Here is an 18,137-nt window from a genome sequence, read left to right on the forward strand (position 1 = left end):
CCATTATGAGGCATTTTGTATTCAGCCAGTGCTTGGTGTTCATCTGCTGGTGTCTCCTCATGCCCAGACTGAGGCTTGTCTTATTCTCAGAATGGCTGTCGTCAGAGGACAAGGTGGAAATGGACAACTATATTGGGTTCTGTGGATGGGATTAAGCAAAATTCTTTACAAATGCGTTACTGGGGCTTCCATTTTAGGGGTAAGCATGGAGAATGGCAGAAAGCGAGGGGGGTTGATGAGTAGTCCATAGAAGATGGGAGGCAGAACCTGGTCTGAGAATCCTTTGGGATGCTATTTTCCCTGCTTGATGACGGTTTCAGCCCACTTCCTATCAGCCAGAGCTATTTATATTCAGAGGCACAGATTCCACAGCTGTAAGGAAAGTGCCTTCGAGTGCCTCTGAAATCAGTTTCTTCTCCCCTTTTTTTTTAGGGAAAATTTGCAAAGTTGTTTTTGAATATAATCATGAAGAAAAGGCAGAGTTGGCTGGGGACAACAGAGTTGTCTTTGCAGGAGAGGTTCCACTGTGCTCCCTATGTAGCTTCCTCTTCTCTCTTTTTGGTAACATTACTTCCTCTCATTCCCAGGCACCACATCTCATTTCTAATAAAACAGTGATTTGGGCCTTTTCTTGACCTTGCAGGAAAGGTGTTTTTCTCTTGGCTAACTCTACAAAGATTCTACAAGTCTTCAGATGAGGGTCATTCTGTAAGCAAAGCTATTAACTTTGGCTGGTAGAGGGAGAGAGATCTGAGGTGCAAAACCAGGAGGCACTGGCCATGTGAGGGGGGTGGTGTTAGGAAGGGCATTGGGACATGATGCAAAACCACTCATCAGGTATGAAGAGAAATGGAATCTCAGCCAGGTTCTGCCCCGAGGGGCCCAGCAACATGGGCAGGTGGGTTTACCTTTCTCTCCTCTCTTCTCATCTGTTCCTGATGACGTCTGGGGTTCCTCTCAGCGATGAAATTTTGTGATTGCTGCAAGGCTTATTTTCCTCCTTCCTGTGCAATGATAACAGCTCTGGGGTTGGAAAGTGATCTAACAGTGTTGCGACATGAATGAAAATGTGTCTTTCCAAGAGTTTTGCTGAGAAAAGCCCGGTTTCCCGCAGAGAAAAACACCCACCCCCTGCCGCCTCCCTGCCGCTCCAATGCAAAGAGGGGTGGTGTGGGGTGGTGGTAGAAATGAAGAATAATACCACCACTTTGTATTTTTACCTTTCGTGATAAAACTGTAGTTTTAAAAGTTGTAAAAATGTACTAGTTTGACAAGTGGCACATTTAAAACCTGATTTAGCAAAAGGTTTTTACCTTTGTAATTTTAAAACTGTCACTTGAACTAAAAATATAGGCTAGCAAGTTGAACTTTCATATTTAATGTTTTCTTTTTTCCCTTTTTATTTGCAATTCATTTTGTTCAGCTTTGATTAAAGGAGTGGCAGCAATGGGAAGGAGAATAGCCAGGACTTGGCTAATTAGTCTTTGGGAAGATGAGAGTGTGACCCTTCACACCAGTTCAGATTTGAAAGTTTTCAACACCAGCCCTTGTTAGTTTTAGCAGCTTAGCCATATATCTTACCTTTAAATGTGAACACACAATCTCACAAGAACACTTGACTTAAAGAGGGCAAAGAAAACTGGAGGATTGTTTTTCCCCCTGACCATAATCTCAAGGTTTTTACATGTTTGTTAAAATAAATATGCTATAGCCCCAGATTAAATGGTAATGATGGCAAGTCAGAAAGGATCTGGAACAAAAACACGATAAACCCGGGTCAGAAAGGATCTGGAACAAAAAAATGATGAACCCGGGTGTCCTGGATTGTGGAATATTAAAAACGGCTACTCAGGATTCACAAAATGTTTACAATGGACTTTCTTTTAGTAGGCAGGAACTGACCCATGACCTTAGGCAAGTCACTGCATTTTTCTGAATTTTAGTGAGCTGACTTATAAAATAAAGGAGTTGGAATAGATGAAAGCAAATATTCTTGTATGCCCTAAAATCTCTATTTGTGCCTTTTTCTTTCTTTTGCAGAGCTTGTTCATGAAGGTATTAATATTTGTTGGATTCAATTGAGTTGACAACTTGTTCAAAGAGGCAGCAGGGCTCGGAAGAGATAAGTCAGCTCGGGGTTCTGGGATTGGTCCTGGGCCTCAGTGGTGTGGGGACCTTGGGCAAATCACAAAATAGCTTCTTTGTTTGAAAATGGGGATTATAATCTTCACTCCTAGAGTCCCGTTAGGCTCAAATGAGATAATAGAACTGAAAGCTCTCAAAAAACTTAAAAGACTGTATAAAATGGAAGGTATTAGTATAAAGGCCCTTTCTAAAGAATGTTGATGGAAACATCTTTATGCACACACGGACTTCATTATTGAACTGTTTATTCAGTTATTAGTTGTCATTAGCTTCTAATTCCAGACCATTGATCTATCATAAGGGCAAAATAGATGTGTTCACAATAATAACAGATTTGAATGATACTGATGTATCTATCTGGGGCTGATATCCTGGAAATGACTGGCTTCAGGTTTCATTGACCCATGCCTGGTGTTAGAAACACTGCTTGAACATCTCCAGTGATGGAAGGGGTGGTTGAGGTCAGGGAGGGAAACTTACCTATATTGAGTAGTTGACTTGCACGTAATCTGTGAGAGACACTTTAGGTCCCTTAGTGCATTTGATTTTTATCACCATTCTTACAAGTTGGACTTTATTATCCCCATTTTAATGATAAGGAAATTGAGTCTAAAGAGGTTAAATCAAGACATTTAGTTACTAAGTGGTAGAGTTAGGATAAAGATCTTATTCCGTCTACATGCCATATTTGGCACTTTCTGAGAAACCACTTCTGTCTCTTTTGACAGATTCTCCTCCCCATCTTTTGACAGTTCTAATTGTTAAAACAAATCAACCAACAAACACACCCCAAACTATTCCTTATTGTCCAGAGCTGGCTACTCAAAACATAGTTCCTGGGACCAGCATCATAGGCATCACCTGTGGTTTGTAAAGTCAACACTTGGCCCCACTCCAGGCCTACTGAATCAGGCCTGCATTTCAGTGAGATCCAGAGTGATCCATGAGCATGTTAAAGTTGAGGATTACTCTCTAGAGCACACAGAGCAGATCACATTTCTCCTTTTCATGATGGCTTTCTAAATACCTATCCCAACTGCACCAGAACTTCGTCCCAAAAAGAACCATATGCCTGAGACACCTTTAACGCCTCACCTTTCAAACACTTCTCAGAATCCTGAAAGCCTCTAGAAAGTTTCCTTGACTAACTAGAGACAGGTGGCCCTTTCTGTGACCCTCCCCCAAATATATATTTCATGACCTTTCCTGCCCATCACCTGGTGAAAAATGCCTGGATATTTGTGATTCTGTGAATTGTAGGTCTTACCCTGTTTAATTGCCTACCAATCAGTCAATCAAAAGTCAGGTGGAGGAATTTAGATTTTAAGAGGCTAGGTTTTTAAGCAGGAGAGTGGCGTATAGAAAATGATGAACTAAGCTGAAATTGGGAGATTTATCTTGTGGTGTTCTGCAGTGTGGTTAAAGAGGGTAAGAGTATAAAGGCTCTGAAAGTCATTACAAATTATAGAAAATTGAGCTATTTGAAAGCTTTTATTGGCTGTCATTTGACGCATTGACTCATAAGTTTCATGTGATGTAAATTTATTCCCTTTATAAATGCACCAAATTTTGTCAAAATTAGTCGGCTCATCTGAGAGTTGTTATAAAATGAACACACAAACATGCAATTTATAGAACAATTAAGTTGAACCATAGTCCTCACTTTGTTCAGATAATGGTCACAGCCATATATTTGTAACTGAGTATTTATGCCATTATTAATATACTAATCACCAATGTCAATCATTCTTTATAAGGGCAGGGTATAAGTCTGTTCAGTTTGCCTTTTTAGATGTAGCTATCATTGATCACATGAAGCTCTTTCCCCTTTCTGGATGTTTACCATGGAATAAAAGACACTGTTTCTCCCAGGGAGTTACGAAGCCCCTTTGTCCAGGAAAGTCTGTCCAGCCACTGACAACAAAGACAGAAGAGAACAGACTATTCCAGGTGGAAAGTGTATTGGCTGCCTGTCTTGGGACCCACCCTCCTGCTTTCTGACCTGAAATCTTGTTTCTTCTTGCGTCCTCCATCTTCTGCCTGCTTGTCTCAATCAATAGGGGATTGTTGTATAACACCTCCCTCCAGTTCACTACTCTAATATATTTCTCTTCCGATGCTGATGATCCCCAATAAAAAACTTCAAAATCTCACACCTCATAGAAACAATAAAAAGAGAATCATGGAAAGAAATTTCAGAACCACTGGGTTTGGGTTGTTTAAATACCTCCAAATTCATACAAATCCAGCCCTTTTTATTGGCTCTGTTTCCAGAAACAGAAAGCCTGAAACCTGGGTGGCAAAAAAAATTTATTTTTCAACCCAAGTAACATCTGGAGAGAGCTGTATGACAACCCAGTTCCAGGACGACTGCTGTAATCTCTGACATGAGTACTTCATGGTACTGAATAATTTTGTCATTATGTCATTTTTTTAATCACAATTTTTTTTCCTCCTAAAAATGAGTTAGAATTATCAGTCTGTTTTTCTGGCCACCGTGGGAGAGCTTTCCCATACAATACTGGAATCATATTTTCCTCTTTACTTCCTCCCTACTACTACGTGATTGGATCAGAACCAATCACGTAGCAGTAGGGAGAAAGTAAAAAGGAGGATTACACCATTGCTTAAGGATCCTTCAAATGGCCATGGGTGAAGATAGGATTCTATCAAAGCCTTAATAGCCATGAGGAGGACCCTACAGGGAGAGACTTCCAGCCCCACAGATGGTTAGTGGACTAGATCATCAACAGAGAGATAGGTGCAGAAAGGGATTATATAATGGAAGCTCTTGTTCACTTATTGATGAATAATCTTGAGTTTCCATTGTAGATCAGGCTCTGGGTAAAGTGAAGTAAGTGCTGCTGGGCTGTGAAATCACCCCAGTTCCAAAGTTCTGGAAAACCAGCTTTGCTCTAACACTTATCAACACTGCAGCCTTGAGTAGGATAATGCATCTTGTTTTTATCCATTTCTTTCATCTGTAAAATTAGGATCAATTGTTGTTTTCAGGATTTAGTGAGATTATGTTATTTGCATTGCCTAGTACATAAAAAGCTTTAATAAATGTTAGCCTTTTCTCCTTTGTCTACTTAGGGGCCATGGGGGCTGTTGAGAGAAGTAAGATGTGTTTGGGATCTGAAAGGGTTTGCATTCCAATTGGGGATGAAAGACATGCACACAACTAACTGTAATATGAGACTAAATGAAATAACTGTGTTAATAAAGGAGAGATGTAAAAGGATAGAGAAAAAAAGCCATGATTAATTCTACTGGGGAGTGAGTTGGGAAGGATTTGGGGGACAGCCAACATCAGCACTGGTCCTGAAGATTTGAGGCAGTTGCTTCTGATCCTGCTGGAGAAACTCAGGAATGTGCACTCAGAGCCATCTGCTTGAAGAAGGCCAGTAAAGTGTAGAGGAACTAAGAATATTTAAAAAAACAGATGTGTGTAGAGACTCAGGAAGAAAAGCAAGAAAACTATGTCAGGGGAACTCTCAAGGGTAGGGCAAAGTCTAATTACCCAAATTGAAATCTGGCCTCTGTGGCAGACCTAAGACTTGTCTTGAACCCATGAAGACCTGCTATAGTGGCAGAGGCATGCCTGAAATAATTAGCTTTATACTGCAGCTCTTGTTTGGGAATTCTTGGTTTGTATCGGTCTTTTCCCAGGAAGCCTGAGAGGTATTTTGAGAATGGTTAGCAAATTGCCTGGACAGTAGCAGGGCAGGAAAATGTAAAATCAATAAATAATCAGGCTGAATTTTAATTGAATATATTCCTAAGGCCATGCTGACATGTAAATTTAAAAAACGACTCACTAGAGAAATCAGTGATTTCCCTCTGTGGGTACTTCCATTCCAGGAGATGGCACAAAGATTGGCTTTTGCAATTCCTTCCCACATTTTCTGTTCTCTTTCCTGAATAGGAAGGCAGTGTTAAACCATCTTCCTACGTTTCTCTTTTCTGCAAAAAGGAGTATTTATTTTGGAAAAAAATACTTAAACTTTACTTCATGTAGAAGCAAACAACAGAGAGGAAGGCAGAGTCCTTTGATGTTATGCCAATTAGTCCTTTTGGGTAGAGATGTAGTTACTTTTCAGAGGGCATTGGGGCTCAGGAAGCTCTTCACTGTCACTGTGTTTGTCACATCTGAAGGTCAATAATGTCATAGATATGTGTCCTAGATATGGAACTGTTTTTATTGTTATTTGTATTTTCTGTAAATATTTTCTTTGTACTTCTGAGTATTATTTGGTGAAGTTATTTCTGAAATTTTGAGTGAGCTGCATGAGTGCACAGGAGCTAAGGAGAGCTACTTTAGACCAAACTGGGGCTCAGGAAGCAACCCCCATCCCCCGACACCAGGATGGGTGGGGTGGAAGGAATCAAAGTGAGAAGTCCCCAGGACTTTCCTTGAATCTTTTTCTTTCAGGCATTTCAATTTGTATTTGATTTTGTAGCACCGTGTTTGTCTTCTTGTCACCTTAACCTCTGCACAGACACTGTTGCTCAGTTGAAGAAAAAGGTTGCATCTGAACAAATTTGTTTCTACATGAGTTTAATTAGGCACCTACCAGGTGCCCAATTCTGTGCTTGATGCTGCCAGGGATATGGAAGATTTATGAGACACAGGCTTTGACTTTAGAGGGTGCCAGCATGCTATAGAAAGCTGGTAAATAAATTTTAGCGTATACGAGCCTCCAGCAGAGATTGTCAAACAGGAACTGTGCCTGGAGATTCTGATTCTGTAGCCCTGGGAGGAAGCTCTTGAATCTACAGTTTAAGAGGTAAACCAGGTGGATCTGGTTCAGGTAATTCATGACTCAGACTTTAAAAGACAGTAGTAAGATAGACCTAACATTTTCATTAGTGAGAAAGACCTGCTGTTTAAAGACCCCCTCTGCTGCTTACTAGCTGAATGATTTGGAGCAAGATACTCACATTCTGCAACCTTTACTCGTCTATAAAACTATGACATTTGTGCCTTTCTCATAAGGTGACTGTAAGAATTAAATGAGATACAAACTAGCACAGTTCCTGGAATATTCTAGAAACACAAAAACCAATTTTTTAATGATTATTTTTATTCTTTTTAAATTTTAATAGTATATTTTAATCCAATATATTTAAAATATTGTCATTTTAACCTATAATCGTATCCAAAATTACCTGATATTTTACAATATCTATTTTTTAAAAATTTTTCATTTTATTTTATTTTTTATTATACTTTAAGTTCTGGAATACATGTGCAGAATGTGCAGGTTCGTTACATAGGTATACACATGCCATGGTGGTTTGCCGCACCCATCAACTCATCATCTACATTAGGTATTTCTCCTAATGCTATTCTTCTCCTGGCCCCCCACCCCGCGACAGGCCCTGGTATGTGATATTCCCCTCCCCGTGTCCGTGTGTTCTCATTGTTCAACTCCTAACCATGAGCAAAAACATGTGGTGTTTGGTTTTCTGTTCCTGTGTTAGTTTGCTGAGAATGATGGTTTCCAGCTTCATCTATGTCCCTGCAAACGGCATGAACTTATCCTTTTTTATGGCTGCATAGTATTCCATGGTGTATATATGTGCCACATTTTCTTTATCCAGTCTATCATTGAGGGGTATTTGGGTTGGTTCCAAGTCTTTGCTATTGTGAATAGTGATGCAATAAACATACGTGTGCATGTGTCTTTATAGTAGAATGACTATCTAGAATGACTTATAATCTTTTGGGTATATACCCAGTAATGAGATTGCTGAGGCAAATAGTATTTCTGGTTCTAGATCCTTGAGGAACCAGACTGTCTTCCACCACACTGTCTTCCACAATGGTTGAACTAATTTACACTCCCACAAACAGTGTAAAAGCATTCCTATTTCTCCACATTCTCTCCAGCATCTGTTGTTTCCTGACTTTCTAATGATCACCATTCTAACTGGCATGAGACGGTATCTCACTGTGGTTTTGATTTGCATTTCTCTAATGACCATTGATGAGCTTTTTTCATGTTTTTTGGCCACATAAATGTCTTCTTTTGAGAAGTGTCTGTTCATATCTTTCACCCACCTTTTGATGGGGTTGTTTTTTTTTTCTTGTAAATTTGTTTAAGTTTTTGTAGATTCTGGATATTAGCCCTTTGTCAGATGGGTAGATTGCAAGAATTTTCTCCCATTCTATAGGTTGCCTGTTCACTCTGATGATAGTTCCTTTTGCTGTGCAGAAGCCCTTTAGTTTAATTAGATCCCATCTGCCAATTTTGGCTTTTGTTGCCATTGCTTTTGGTGTTTTAGTCATGAAGTCTTTGCCCATGCCTATGTCCTGAATGGTACTGCCTAGGTTCAAAAACCATTTTTTTAACCCTCCTTCTCAATGATCTAGTTGGAAAGATAACACAGGCTACTTCAGCTTTCAAGTTATTTCTTATTCGCTGAAATGATAGTGAAGTTTATCATCTATGTGACACAACTGGCTGTTTATATTGCTTAAATCGTATTGTTAGTTTTCCATTTGTGTGTGTGTGTGTTTGAGACAGGATCTGACTCTTTCACTTAGGCTGGAGTGCAGTGGTGCAATTTTGGCTCACAGCAACCTCCACTTCCCAGGCTCAAGTGATCCTCTCACCTCAGCCTCTCAAGTAGCTAGGACTACAGGCATGCACCACCAGGCCTGGCTAATATTTGTATTTTTGGTAGAGATGAGGTTTTGCCATATTTCTCAGGCTGGCCTCGAACTCCTAAACTCAAGCAACCCACCTGCCTCGGCCACCTAAAATGCTGGGATTATAGGTGTGAGCCACTGCGTTCGGACTATTTGTGTTTTTAACTGAAGGCTCTGGCAATGTGTAACTGGCTCACCAAACCCAGGAATTATGAGATGTCACCTTAGGCCACCAGAAATTATAATTACATGAGATGATCTGGGTTTGGGTCTTACACCAAGATAGGAGAGAAAAGCTGCCCTCAAATCTTTGGAGAAGTTTCTCTGGAAAGGTCAAGAATGAACCTTGGATGAAAAGTTAATAAAAGAGAGAACTAAGGCCGTAAACTCCATTGTAAGGCACAGTTAGGGCCAGGGCCAATTGAGGAGAAATAATAGCACAACTTAGAGGACAGTTTCTTTGATATATTTCAGGCCAGCTCCTGAGCTGGTTCTAGATCTAGATCTTGTCCATATCCTTGCTGATACTGGAGACAACATTTTGTTGGCTACCAAAAAGATCTATGAACAGTTGCCTCTGGGACCTACAAAAAGCAGTCATCCTCCAAGGGAGAGTTTATAACTCGAGGCCAAAAGAGCTGGGATGATCAAGAGATGCAAATGGAGCTGGCTGTGGTGACAAGGAAGTGGAGGGAAGTTGGAGCTTGAAGAACTATCAAGGATTATGCTAAGGACTCTAGATCATCTTGGGACCAGTAGGAATTCAGGCATAGGTGAGGGGCTGGTAATGTCATCGAACTGGAGATGTGTGATGGGTGATCCTGACCACGACAGCGATAGAAAGGACTATGGGTAATTAATTCTCTCTGACCAAGAGTAATGCCTGAAGCTAAGAGATCCAGCCAAGCCAAATGACTTTTGGATTTTCACTTTAGCTCTTGGTTCTAAGTGCATACTCCCTACCCACCCTATTCTTTGTGGGGCCTGGGGAATGAGTACTGTGTTTATGGGAATGTGCTCACTGCATAAGGATGAGACTCACAGTTAAGGCAGAGCAGTCGCCATTTGAATGCTTCTCCATACAACCCTACTCAATACATATTTCATAGAGAATCACAGAGTGTTAGAAAGGAAAGTGGCCTTAGGGATCACCTAGTTCCGTCTCCTTATTTTTCTGGTAAGGAAGCAAACTCAGAAAAAGTATACGACCTTCTCAAGGTCACACAGCTGCTCAGTAACAGAGCTGTGCCTGGAACCCAGGCCTCCCCTGCCACTCACATTACTAGGCTGCACTTTCTTATGATGATTTATACCTGCTTGAATTTCCATTTATCTCCCTGGGAGTCTGGATTGATGTGCCTGCTCAGGCTGGGCATACCATTGTTCAGCGTTTAAAATCCAACAGGCTCCTTTTGCTTTTGCTTTTGCTCTTCACATGCTAACCACGGAGTAGGAGATGGAGCTGCCACTCACTGCACACACCGATGACAATTTCATTAACTCTGTGTCGTTGGGCTTTGGCAATCCACGCGTCTCATAATTGTGCTAAGCTCATTCTGGTGAAAAGTACATGAGGATTTTTGAACGGTTTATAATGAGGAAGTCGTTGTTAAAGTTTTAATAAAATTAGCATGTAAGTTTCAATAAATTAGTGTTATGTATTCATAAATACTTAAAAACACCAGCATCTGAGATGTCAGAGCAGAAACAAATGCAGTGGTCCTGGCCAGTGTCCTCCTACATTTGCAAACTTAACTTTTTGGGGTACTCCTTGGGCAGGAGTCTGGTTAGAGCTGTCTTTGAAGCTGCCTGGCTGTAAAAGACAAGCATCCTTCACTTAGCAAACTGCCATCATGAAATGTGAGCTGGAAGGCAGTATTTTGGACCACACAACTATGGGAAATGTGGGAGTTGTAGTGGACAACTGCTGAAGAGATTTCTCTTCTGTCTTCTTTGCTCTTTTCTGATCCAAAATTAGTGTTTCTAGCTGTAACTTGAGCTTGGGGTATAAAGGAACTTTTAACAGCACGAAAATATTTTCATCCTATCAAGTTAGAGGAATACGTTTTGGTACCACAGCCAGCAGATGAAGGGATGAATTCAGGATTTCTCTGTTTAGATGGAAAGCCAGGGCAATGTAAAACTTTGTGTCAATAGTTCTGTGTTGTATGCCATTTAAGTTTCAGCCATTTGAGCGGACAAAGCTATTTTTCTTCAGATTGAGATTTTTTAGACTCATAGAAGGGGGGGGGGTTCTGATAACATCTCATTGAACAGATCAAACAGCCCTGATATGTATAGTGTAACTCTGTCTTGTCCTTCCGCAGTGTCCACCCCTGTTGTAGTGTTAATTGATCTGCCAATAGTCAGTTAGATCTCCCACTTGTGAAAATATGTGAAATGAAGGCTCTCGCATAAGATGAACCCTTTACTTCCTTCTAATTTTTTGGGGGTCTATTTCCTAGCTTTCAGTTTTAGGGAAAAGAATATAATACCTTGCACTGATATGCTTTTTCTAACTCATTCAAAGTGCATTTGTAGTTGTCAGAATCTAAGTGGCTTAAACCAACAGGGTTTATTTCATGCTGACACTACAAAGATTGGATGGGGTGTCTGAGCTCGGTCATCCTCACTCTGGGCTACCCTCCGAAGTGTGGCCAGTCCCTGAAGGAGAGAGAAAGAAGGAGTGGCAAATTAATGTTATAGCTCTTTTAGCTTCCACTCAGAAGGGCTACAAATCCTTTCCACTAAAATTTTATTAGCCAAAGAATGCCACATGGCACATGTAATATTAAAGGTAACAAAAATACAATCCTATCATGTGTCCAGGGAGAAAATAGACATTTGTTTAGCAGCAATAATGACTATCAACACTTTCGTATACTATCTAATTTTATTTCAGAATGTTTATAGTTGCTCTGTCATGAGCATAGCTGAGAGAGAATTATAGATTGTATTTTATGTCTTCTAAGACAATAGTTCCCAAACTTTTAGACTTCATAGATTTTTTTTTTTAATTTGAGGAGTGTGTAGTTCACATAGGGTTGCATATCATTTATTTTGTTAACTACTTGTCATCACTGTCATTTTATACAAGAAAATTCAGGGATTGTACAATTTTGAAAACTCAGAAAACATGGGAAGCATATAATCTTATACGGAAGGTTAGATCTTTACATACGTTTAGCTTTATGAAAAACTATTGTATTCCCCTTACTTTTTCTCTATCTTCCTGATAACTTTTGTGATCTAGTATTTAAGAAATTGGGCTCTGAGAGGTTATAATGCCAAACTGCCAAGAAACATGAGTGACATATGTAGGGTATACACACAAGGTATAAGAGTAGATGCAAGGTTTTGCTAATTATGCAAATAGAAGGTAGAGTGGCAGGTTGAAGGTTAAAAATGAATTATTGCCTTGAAAGGCTAATTTGGAGAAGGATAGATTGAACAAACCAAGCTAGAATTGAGGAGGAAAGGAGGGGTGAGTATTAACTTGGGCAAAAGGTTTAGAGGCTAGGTGAAAAGCCTTGACTCTGGGGTTTTCAAAACAATGCATGGAGAAGACAACTTGGGAAGTAGCAGTGAAATAAGAAGTGGGAGAGATCATGGCATACGTCTCAAATTGGGAGTACTGTGCATTGCCAAAGGCTTGGACAAATCACTTATCCTGTAGATGGATGCCTTTGGTCCCTTGGAGCTTCTATACCTGTACAGATTGACTTTTAGATCTTGGTATCTGCATGGAGAAAAGACATTTGGGATCATAGTGGCCTTTCTGGGTCCTGAATATTCCATTTAGAAGATTGCCTATTCTGTGGACCAGTGAAGAAGGTTGTAGAAAGAGCTACACAGGAAGGATATTTTGCTTTGGGATAAAGCAGAATTTGGCTACTAACCCAGTTCAAAAGTAAAGGAAAGAAAAGAGTTGAGATCAATTTGTGATCTTTGAATCAGAGATGTTGAGACTTGCATACACCAGGAGAACAAGAAGTCTATTAAGAGAATCTCTTTCATCTACAGAGAAGAAAAAGGAAACTATCAGAGTATATAGTACATATTATCCATTTTTTAGCCCCTTTCTTCTCCGCATAAAAATACTAAACATTAAAGGACAACTATGAGAACCTCCCGTTTGCCCTTGAAGGTCTCCATATTCTGCAGAGAACACCATCACAATCATTGGAAGCCATTGGCTCAGAGGTTAGAACGTGCTCATCAAAACCCAGATCGGTAGTGGAGCAGGGTTGTAATTCTAGAAAATGCGACTTGAGTTAGTTAAAGTATCCTTTTGAGAAAATTACTGAAATCACACCCAGATAGAATAGAATTTATATGAAGGGGTATGATACAGAAATGCAAATTTATAACTACTGAAATTTATTTCAGAACATGTGGAGAAAACATGTGTAAACTTCTTTACCTTAAAAACAGCAACAACAACAAGTTTTCCTTTATTTAGCATGGATTTTGTTAGCCCTTCGGTTAAGCTACCAGGTGATGCAGAATCTCTAGTACTGAGAAGTTAGTGAATTCTGTCCAGAGGAACTTGCATTTCCAGGTAAAGTGGAAGTTTGCAGGCATTACTGGAATGAGCCAGTAGGACGTCTGGGGTCAGGTCTGGCTCTGTTCACTGACAGTTGTTGAGACAGTTACCTAATCTCTCTAGGTTTCCACTTCCTCATGTATAAAATCAGAGTTGGATTGGATGACCTCTAAGGTCTGTTCTGATTCTATGATTTTATTAGTTTGTAATTCTCAAAAAGAAGATAGAAAATGCCTCCTGGCAAAACTGTATGAATTTCCAGAATATTCAAATAAACAACCATGGTTGGACTTTGTGCCAATCCAAAATCTTTTCAGAATGGCTTGTGCCTTTTCTGGCTTTTATTTTTCCATTCTATGACTCAGGATTTTTTGGTGTAAATAAAAACTCCTTTTTAAAATTAAGCCTTCCCCTGCTGTCTGATTCATTCAGTGATGTTACAACCCACAGCTTGAGATGCGACATTTCTTTTCATTTTAGTGAAATTGTGATGTCACAAAACTTGAATTGATGCATCCAACTGAATTAAGCAGAAGGAGCAAGATAATTACAGATGAGAATGCTCTTATCTACACACATATGTGTCTAGGTAATCAGCAATGAAGGGAAAGGAAATACAGGCAAGGCACTTGGTAAAAATTTTCCAGGCTGTGGCTCTAGCCTAATGCATTTTTAGACGCAGCATCCCGTTTTAAAGATTGTAGCAAATGCTTGAATCTATACCAGGAACGAAGCATTTTACAATTACCTGTGTACAGTGGCCCACCACCAGCTAAGTCATATCACTTGAACTTTGGCCAAATGTATTAACCTGAGAAGTACTAAAGTTCCTTATATTTGGAGTTTCCTTTACTATAAAGATATTTATCTTTACTTGCACATCATAAGTCTTACAGACAGCTTTTAAAAAGCTAATTTTCTCTTATATAGATTTTTTTACAATAAGGATAGATTGACATGGAGAAATGCATACTATTTTAGCATCAATTCAGAAAATGTTAACAGTATTGCAGCTTCATGTGAAAGAGAGAAAAGTGACATAGGTGTTTTTCTTTTGTTTTTGATATGGACTCTTGATGACATTGCTGAACATCCAATGTTCAATAACGTCACTTACTGAGTTAAAACATGAGCAATCTGACATGTTGGTGAAGATCTCTTCAATTTTCACCCATACAGAGAGGGCTGCCCCTTCAGTTGATTGTTTGATATGGCAATTTTTAGAAAGTTTTTGACCAGAACAATCAATCCAAAGTTAGGATAGAAAAGTTAAATTATATAGAATTTTGCAGCTTATACAATGCTTTATAGCCCCACCACGGGGAAAAAAGAGAAGGTATTGTCACTGACATGCTAGATTAGTCTTACCCACATCTCAAATTTAAGAGTTCTACGTGCACATCCACTATTGTATCTTAGAATTAAGTTATTCCTCTTAACTTCGGCATTTCTGAAGATAGCACAACTTCCCTTCCTCACTTTTGAGATAAGAAACATTAAATTAATATTTAATATCTCTTCTTTTCTTCTTTCCTCTTTTCTTTGATCATTTGACAACTCCTAGCAATTTTGCCTCTCTAAATTATATTTGTGTCTGTTCTTGCTACCTCTATAGGCAGCAACAAAAATTAGGTCATATTGACTACACATATACTGGGGCCATGACCTCTGCAGTCATCTTTCTACCTCCAGAGTTTTCCTGATCAAATCCATTTTGCACATTGCTGATGAATTAATTTTATCAAATTATCACTTTATGTCATTCTTCTGCTTAAAAATCTCCAATGGGCCGGGTGCGGTGGCTCACGCCTGTAATTCCAGCACTTTGGGAGGCCGAGGCAGGTGGATCATGAGGTCAGGAGATCGAGACCATCCTGGCTAACAAGGTGAAACCCCGTCTCTACTAAAAATACAAAAAATTAGCCAGGTGCGGTGGCGGGCGCCTGTAGTCCCAGCTACTCGGGAGGCTGAGGCAGGAGAATGGCGTGAACCCGGGAAGCGGAGCTTGCAGTGAGCCGAGATTGCGCCACTGCAGTCCGCAGTCCGGCCTGGGCGACAGAGCGAGACTCCGTCTCAAAAAAAAAAAAAAAAAAAAAAAAAAAAAAATCTCCAATGTTTTTCAATTTTCTACAGAATAAAATTTCAAACTATTGAGCTTGGCATTATTAGATCTCTAAGCTTTTTAGCTTTGTTCTCTCAATATTTATCATATCAACCCTAGGCTCTAGCCAGTATAGAAACCAGAAAGTAGAATTTTCTTGAACATATATAGAAGTTTCTTATTTGGTAGGACTTATTAAAAAAAAAACCCAACATTTCTTAGATTTGCAAACCCATAAGAAAAACAAAAGGAAACACAGTAAAAAAAAAAATGTAATATGGTGTATTGGAAGGTGTTATGGACTGAAAGTTTGAGCCAAAAAATTCGTATGTTGAAATCCTCATCCTCAATGTGATGGACATTAGCAGGTGGGATCTCTGGGCAGAAATTATGCCATGAAGGTGGAGCCCTCATGAATGGGATTAGTGTTCTTACAAGAAGAGACTCAAGAGGGATGCTCTGTCTTTGTCTGCTGTCATGCAAGGGCAAATCAGAAAGCAGGCTCTCACCAGACACCAGATCTGCTGGCCCCTTGATTTGGAATATACCAGCCTCCATAACTGTTAAAAGGAAATTTGTTGAAGCCACTCAGTCTACAGTATTTTTGTTATAGCAGCCCAAACTGACTAAGAGAGATGGGATCCTAAAACAAACAAACAAAAAGAACTTTAGATAAAAACTAAGGAAATCTGAAATAATAGTAACATGTCAATATTGGCTCATTACTGGACAAATATACCATACTTAATGTGTTAGCAATTGAAGACACTGTGTGTAGGGAGAGAGTATATCTAAGAACTTTCTGTACTATCTTTACAACTTTTCTGTAAATCAAAAACTATTTTAAAATAAAACTTTTATTAAAAACTGTAAGAATAGAATAAGTAGGGGAACTAGGATGTGAAAGACAGAGATGATAAAGTATGATTTTAAAGGAAGTGTTGTGGGCAGAGTGAAAGGACTCCAGATTGTGTGTCTGTTTTTAGGGGAGAAAGCTTACTGGAAGGTTCTGAGGCTTCCCTACAAGTGACCAAGACAACCTTAACATTCCCCTTAGCTTGACTCAATTTTAGATAAGCTTTTTCCTGACTATGGGCCCCAACCTCTTTTTATTTTAGAAAACTTTCAGTTGTAAATTCTTTCTGTGCCTCTTTGAGATGTAAATCTTCTACAACCTAGGAGTGCCTTTCTCAAAGACCTGGAAGCCATCCCTTTGAAATGTAATCATCAGGAAAGATAGGGCCTTACTTTTCCTGTCTCTATGGGAAAGTAGGAACCTGACTTCGTTAACATTTGGCAAATAAAGATGACTCAATCACATAGACCACCCTCCCTGCTAATGTTCCACCTTTCCATTAGCTCAAAGCTGTGCTTAAAAATCTTCCCACCTTTTGTTTCAGTGGAGCTGAGCTTAATCTCTCTCTCCTATTACAATAGTTTGACTCCTCCCCTGTTGTAATAGTCTTAGTGAAGTCTTCCCTGCCTTTCGTAATAAGTATCCAGTGAAACTTTTCCTTTATATCAGGATAAGATCCTGAATGAGGCTAAGAAAATGTGGCATAGCGTGGCCACATCAATGGGGTGGTGAACAGCTTTGAGGTAAAGGCTTTCGAGTTTGAGACTGCTTTCAGAGGACTGTAGGTAAACGTCGGAAAACTCATTTAAGATACTAAGAGACTATAAAATTTGGCCATCTTGTTGGGGATGAATTTTTTTTTTAAATGTATGTTTTCTCTAAGACATTTGGATCAGCATGCTTATGCTCTCCTGCTGAGCTATCTGATGAGATTTCTCTAGGATTTGGCATGAAAGTTCAAATGAAATGATGCAGGATGTTTAGGTAAAATCCGGGACTTTCAATTCACAGACATTTCTGACACTATATTTCTGAGCTTTGTAATTTAGGGACAACACAAACATAACTGTAATATAGTCGCAAGTTGTGTATCTCCCTTTGAAATTGTTTATGTCAAGAAGCCATAAAACTTAGATCTGTGGGCCAAATTGGCCCCTCCCTGTTTTGTAAATAAAGTTTTATTGGCATTCAGCCTTGCGTATTCATTTTCACACTGTCTATGGTGATTTTCCCTCTCCTGTGGCAGAGTTGAGTAGCTGCAAGGGAGATGGTATGGATCTCAAAATTTAAAATATTTATTATACGATCCTTTATTAAAGAAGCATGCCAACCCCTGGATTATATTACCTGTTAGTTAAACTATATTAATACAATGTTTTCTTTCCAAGGGAAAATATATTTATAAATCAATATAATTCAATAAATACTCAGAAGCAGCATATTATGGTGGTGAATAGTGTGGGTTGTGAAACCAGATATTGGCTGGCTTTGAAATTTGACTTTACCATGTACTATCTGAATGACAAGTCACCTTGCTAGTAACCTCTCTGTGCCTCAGTTTTCTCATCTGTAAAATGGAAATAAATCATTGAATTTTTAAGAGGATTAAATGAATTAGTAATGCAAGTACTCAGAACATTGGCACATGGTCGGCATCATCTATGTATTAGCTATTATTATTAATAGTGGTACACCATGAAGATAGAAAAGATCTCTATTTTGTAAAGTGGGGTAAGAACCAACTTGGTAATTATTGCACAAGCATATACCCTGTTACATATAAGAGCAAAGGCTCAGAATATTCTGTCGGCACATGCTTATTATTTATCCA

General features: G+C 39.2%; 1 annotated feature.

Moving 5' to 3' along the window:
- Positions 16,346–17,318: an enhancer, noted in NCBI's record as "OCT4-NANOG hESC enhancer chr13:53850183-53851155 (GRCh37/hg19 assembly coordinates)". NCBI's record gives its function as "activates a minimal SCP1, AML or CMV promoter by ChIP-STARR-seq in naive H9 embryonic stem cells {active_cell/tissue: H9 hESC(naive)}" and the evidence as "EXISTENCE:reporter gene assay evidence [ECO:0000049][PMID:30033119]".

This window comes from Homo sapiens, chromosome 13 (assembly GCF_000001405.40).
Source record: "Homo sapiens chromosome 13, GRCh38.p14 Primary Assembly".
Taxonomy (NCBI): domain Eukaryota; kingdom Metazoa; phylum Chordata; class Mammalia; order Primates; family Hominidae; genus Homo; species Homo sapiens.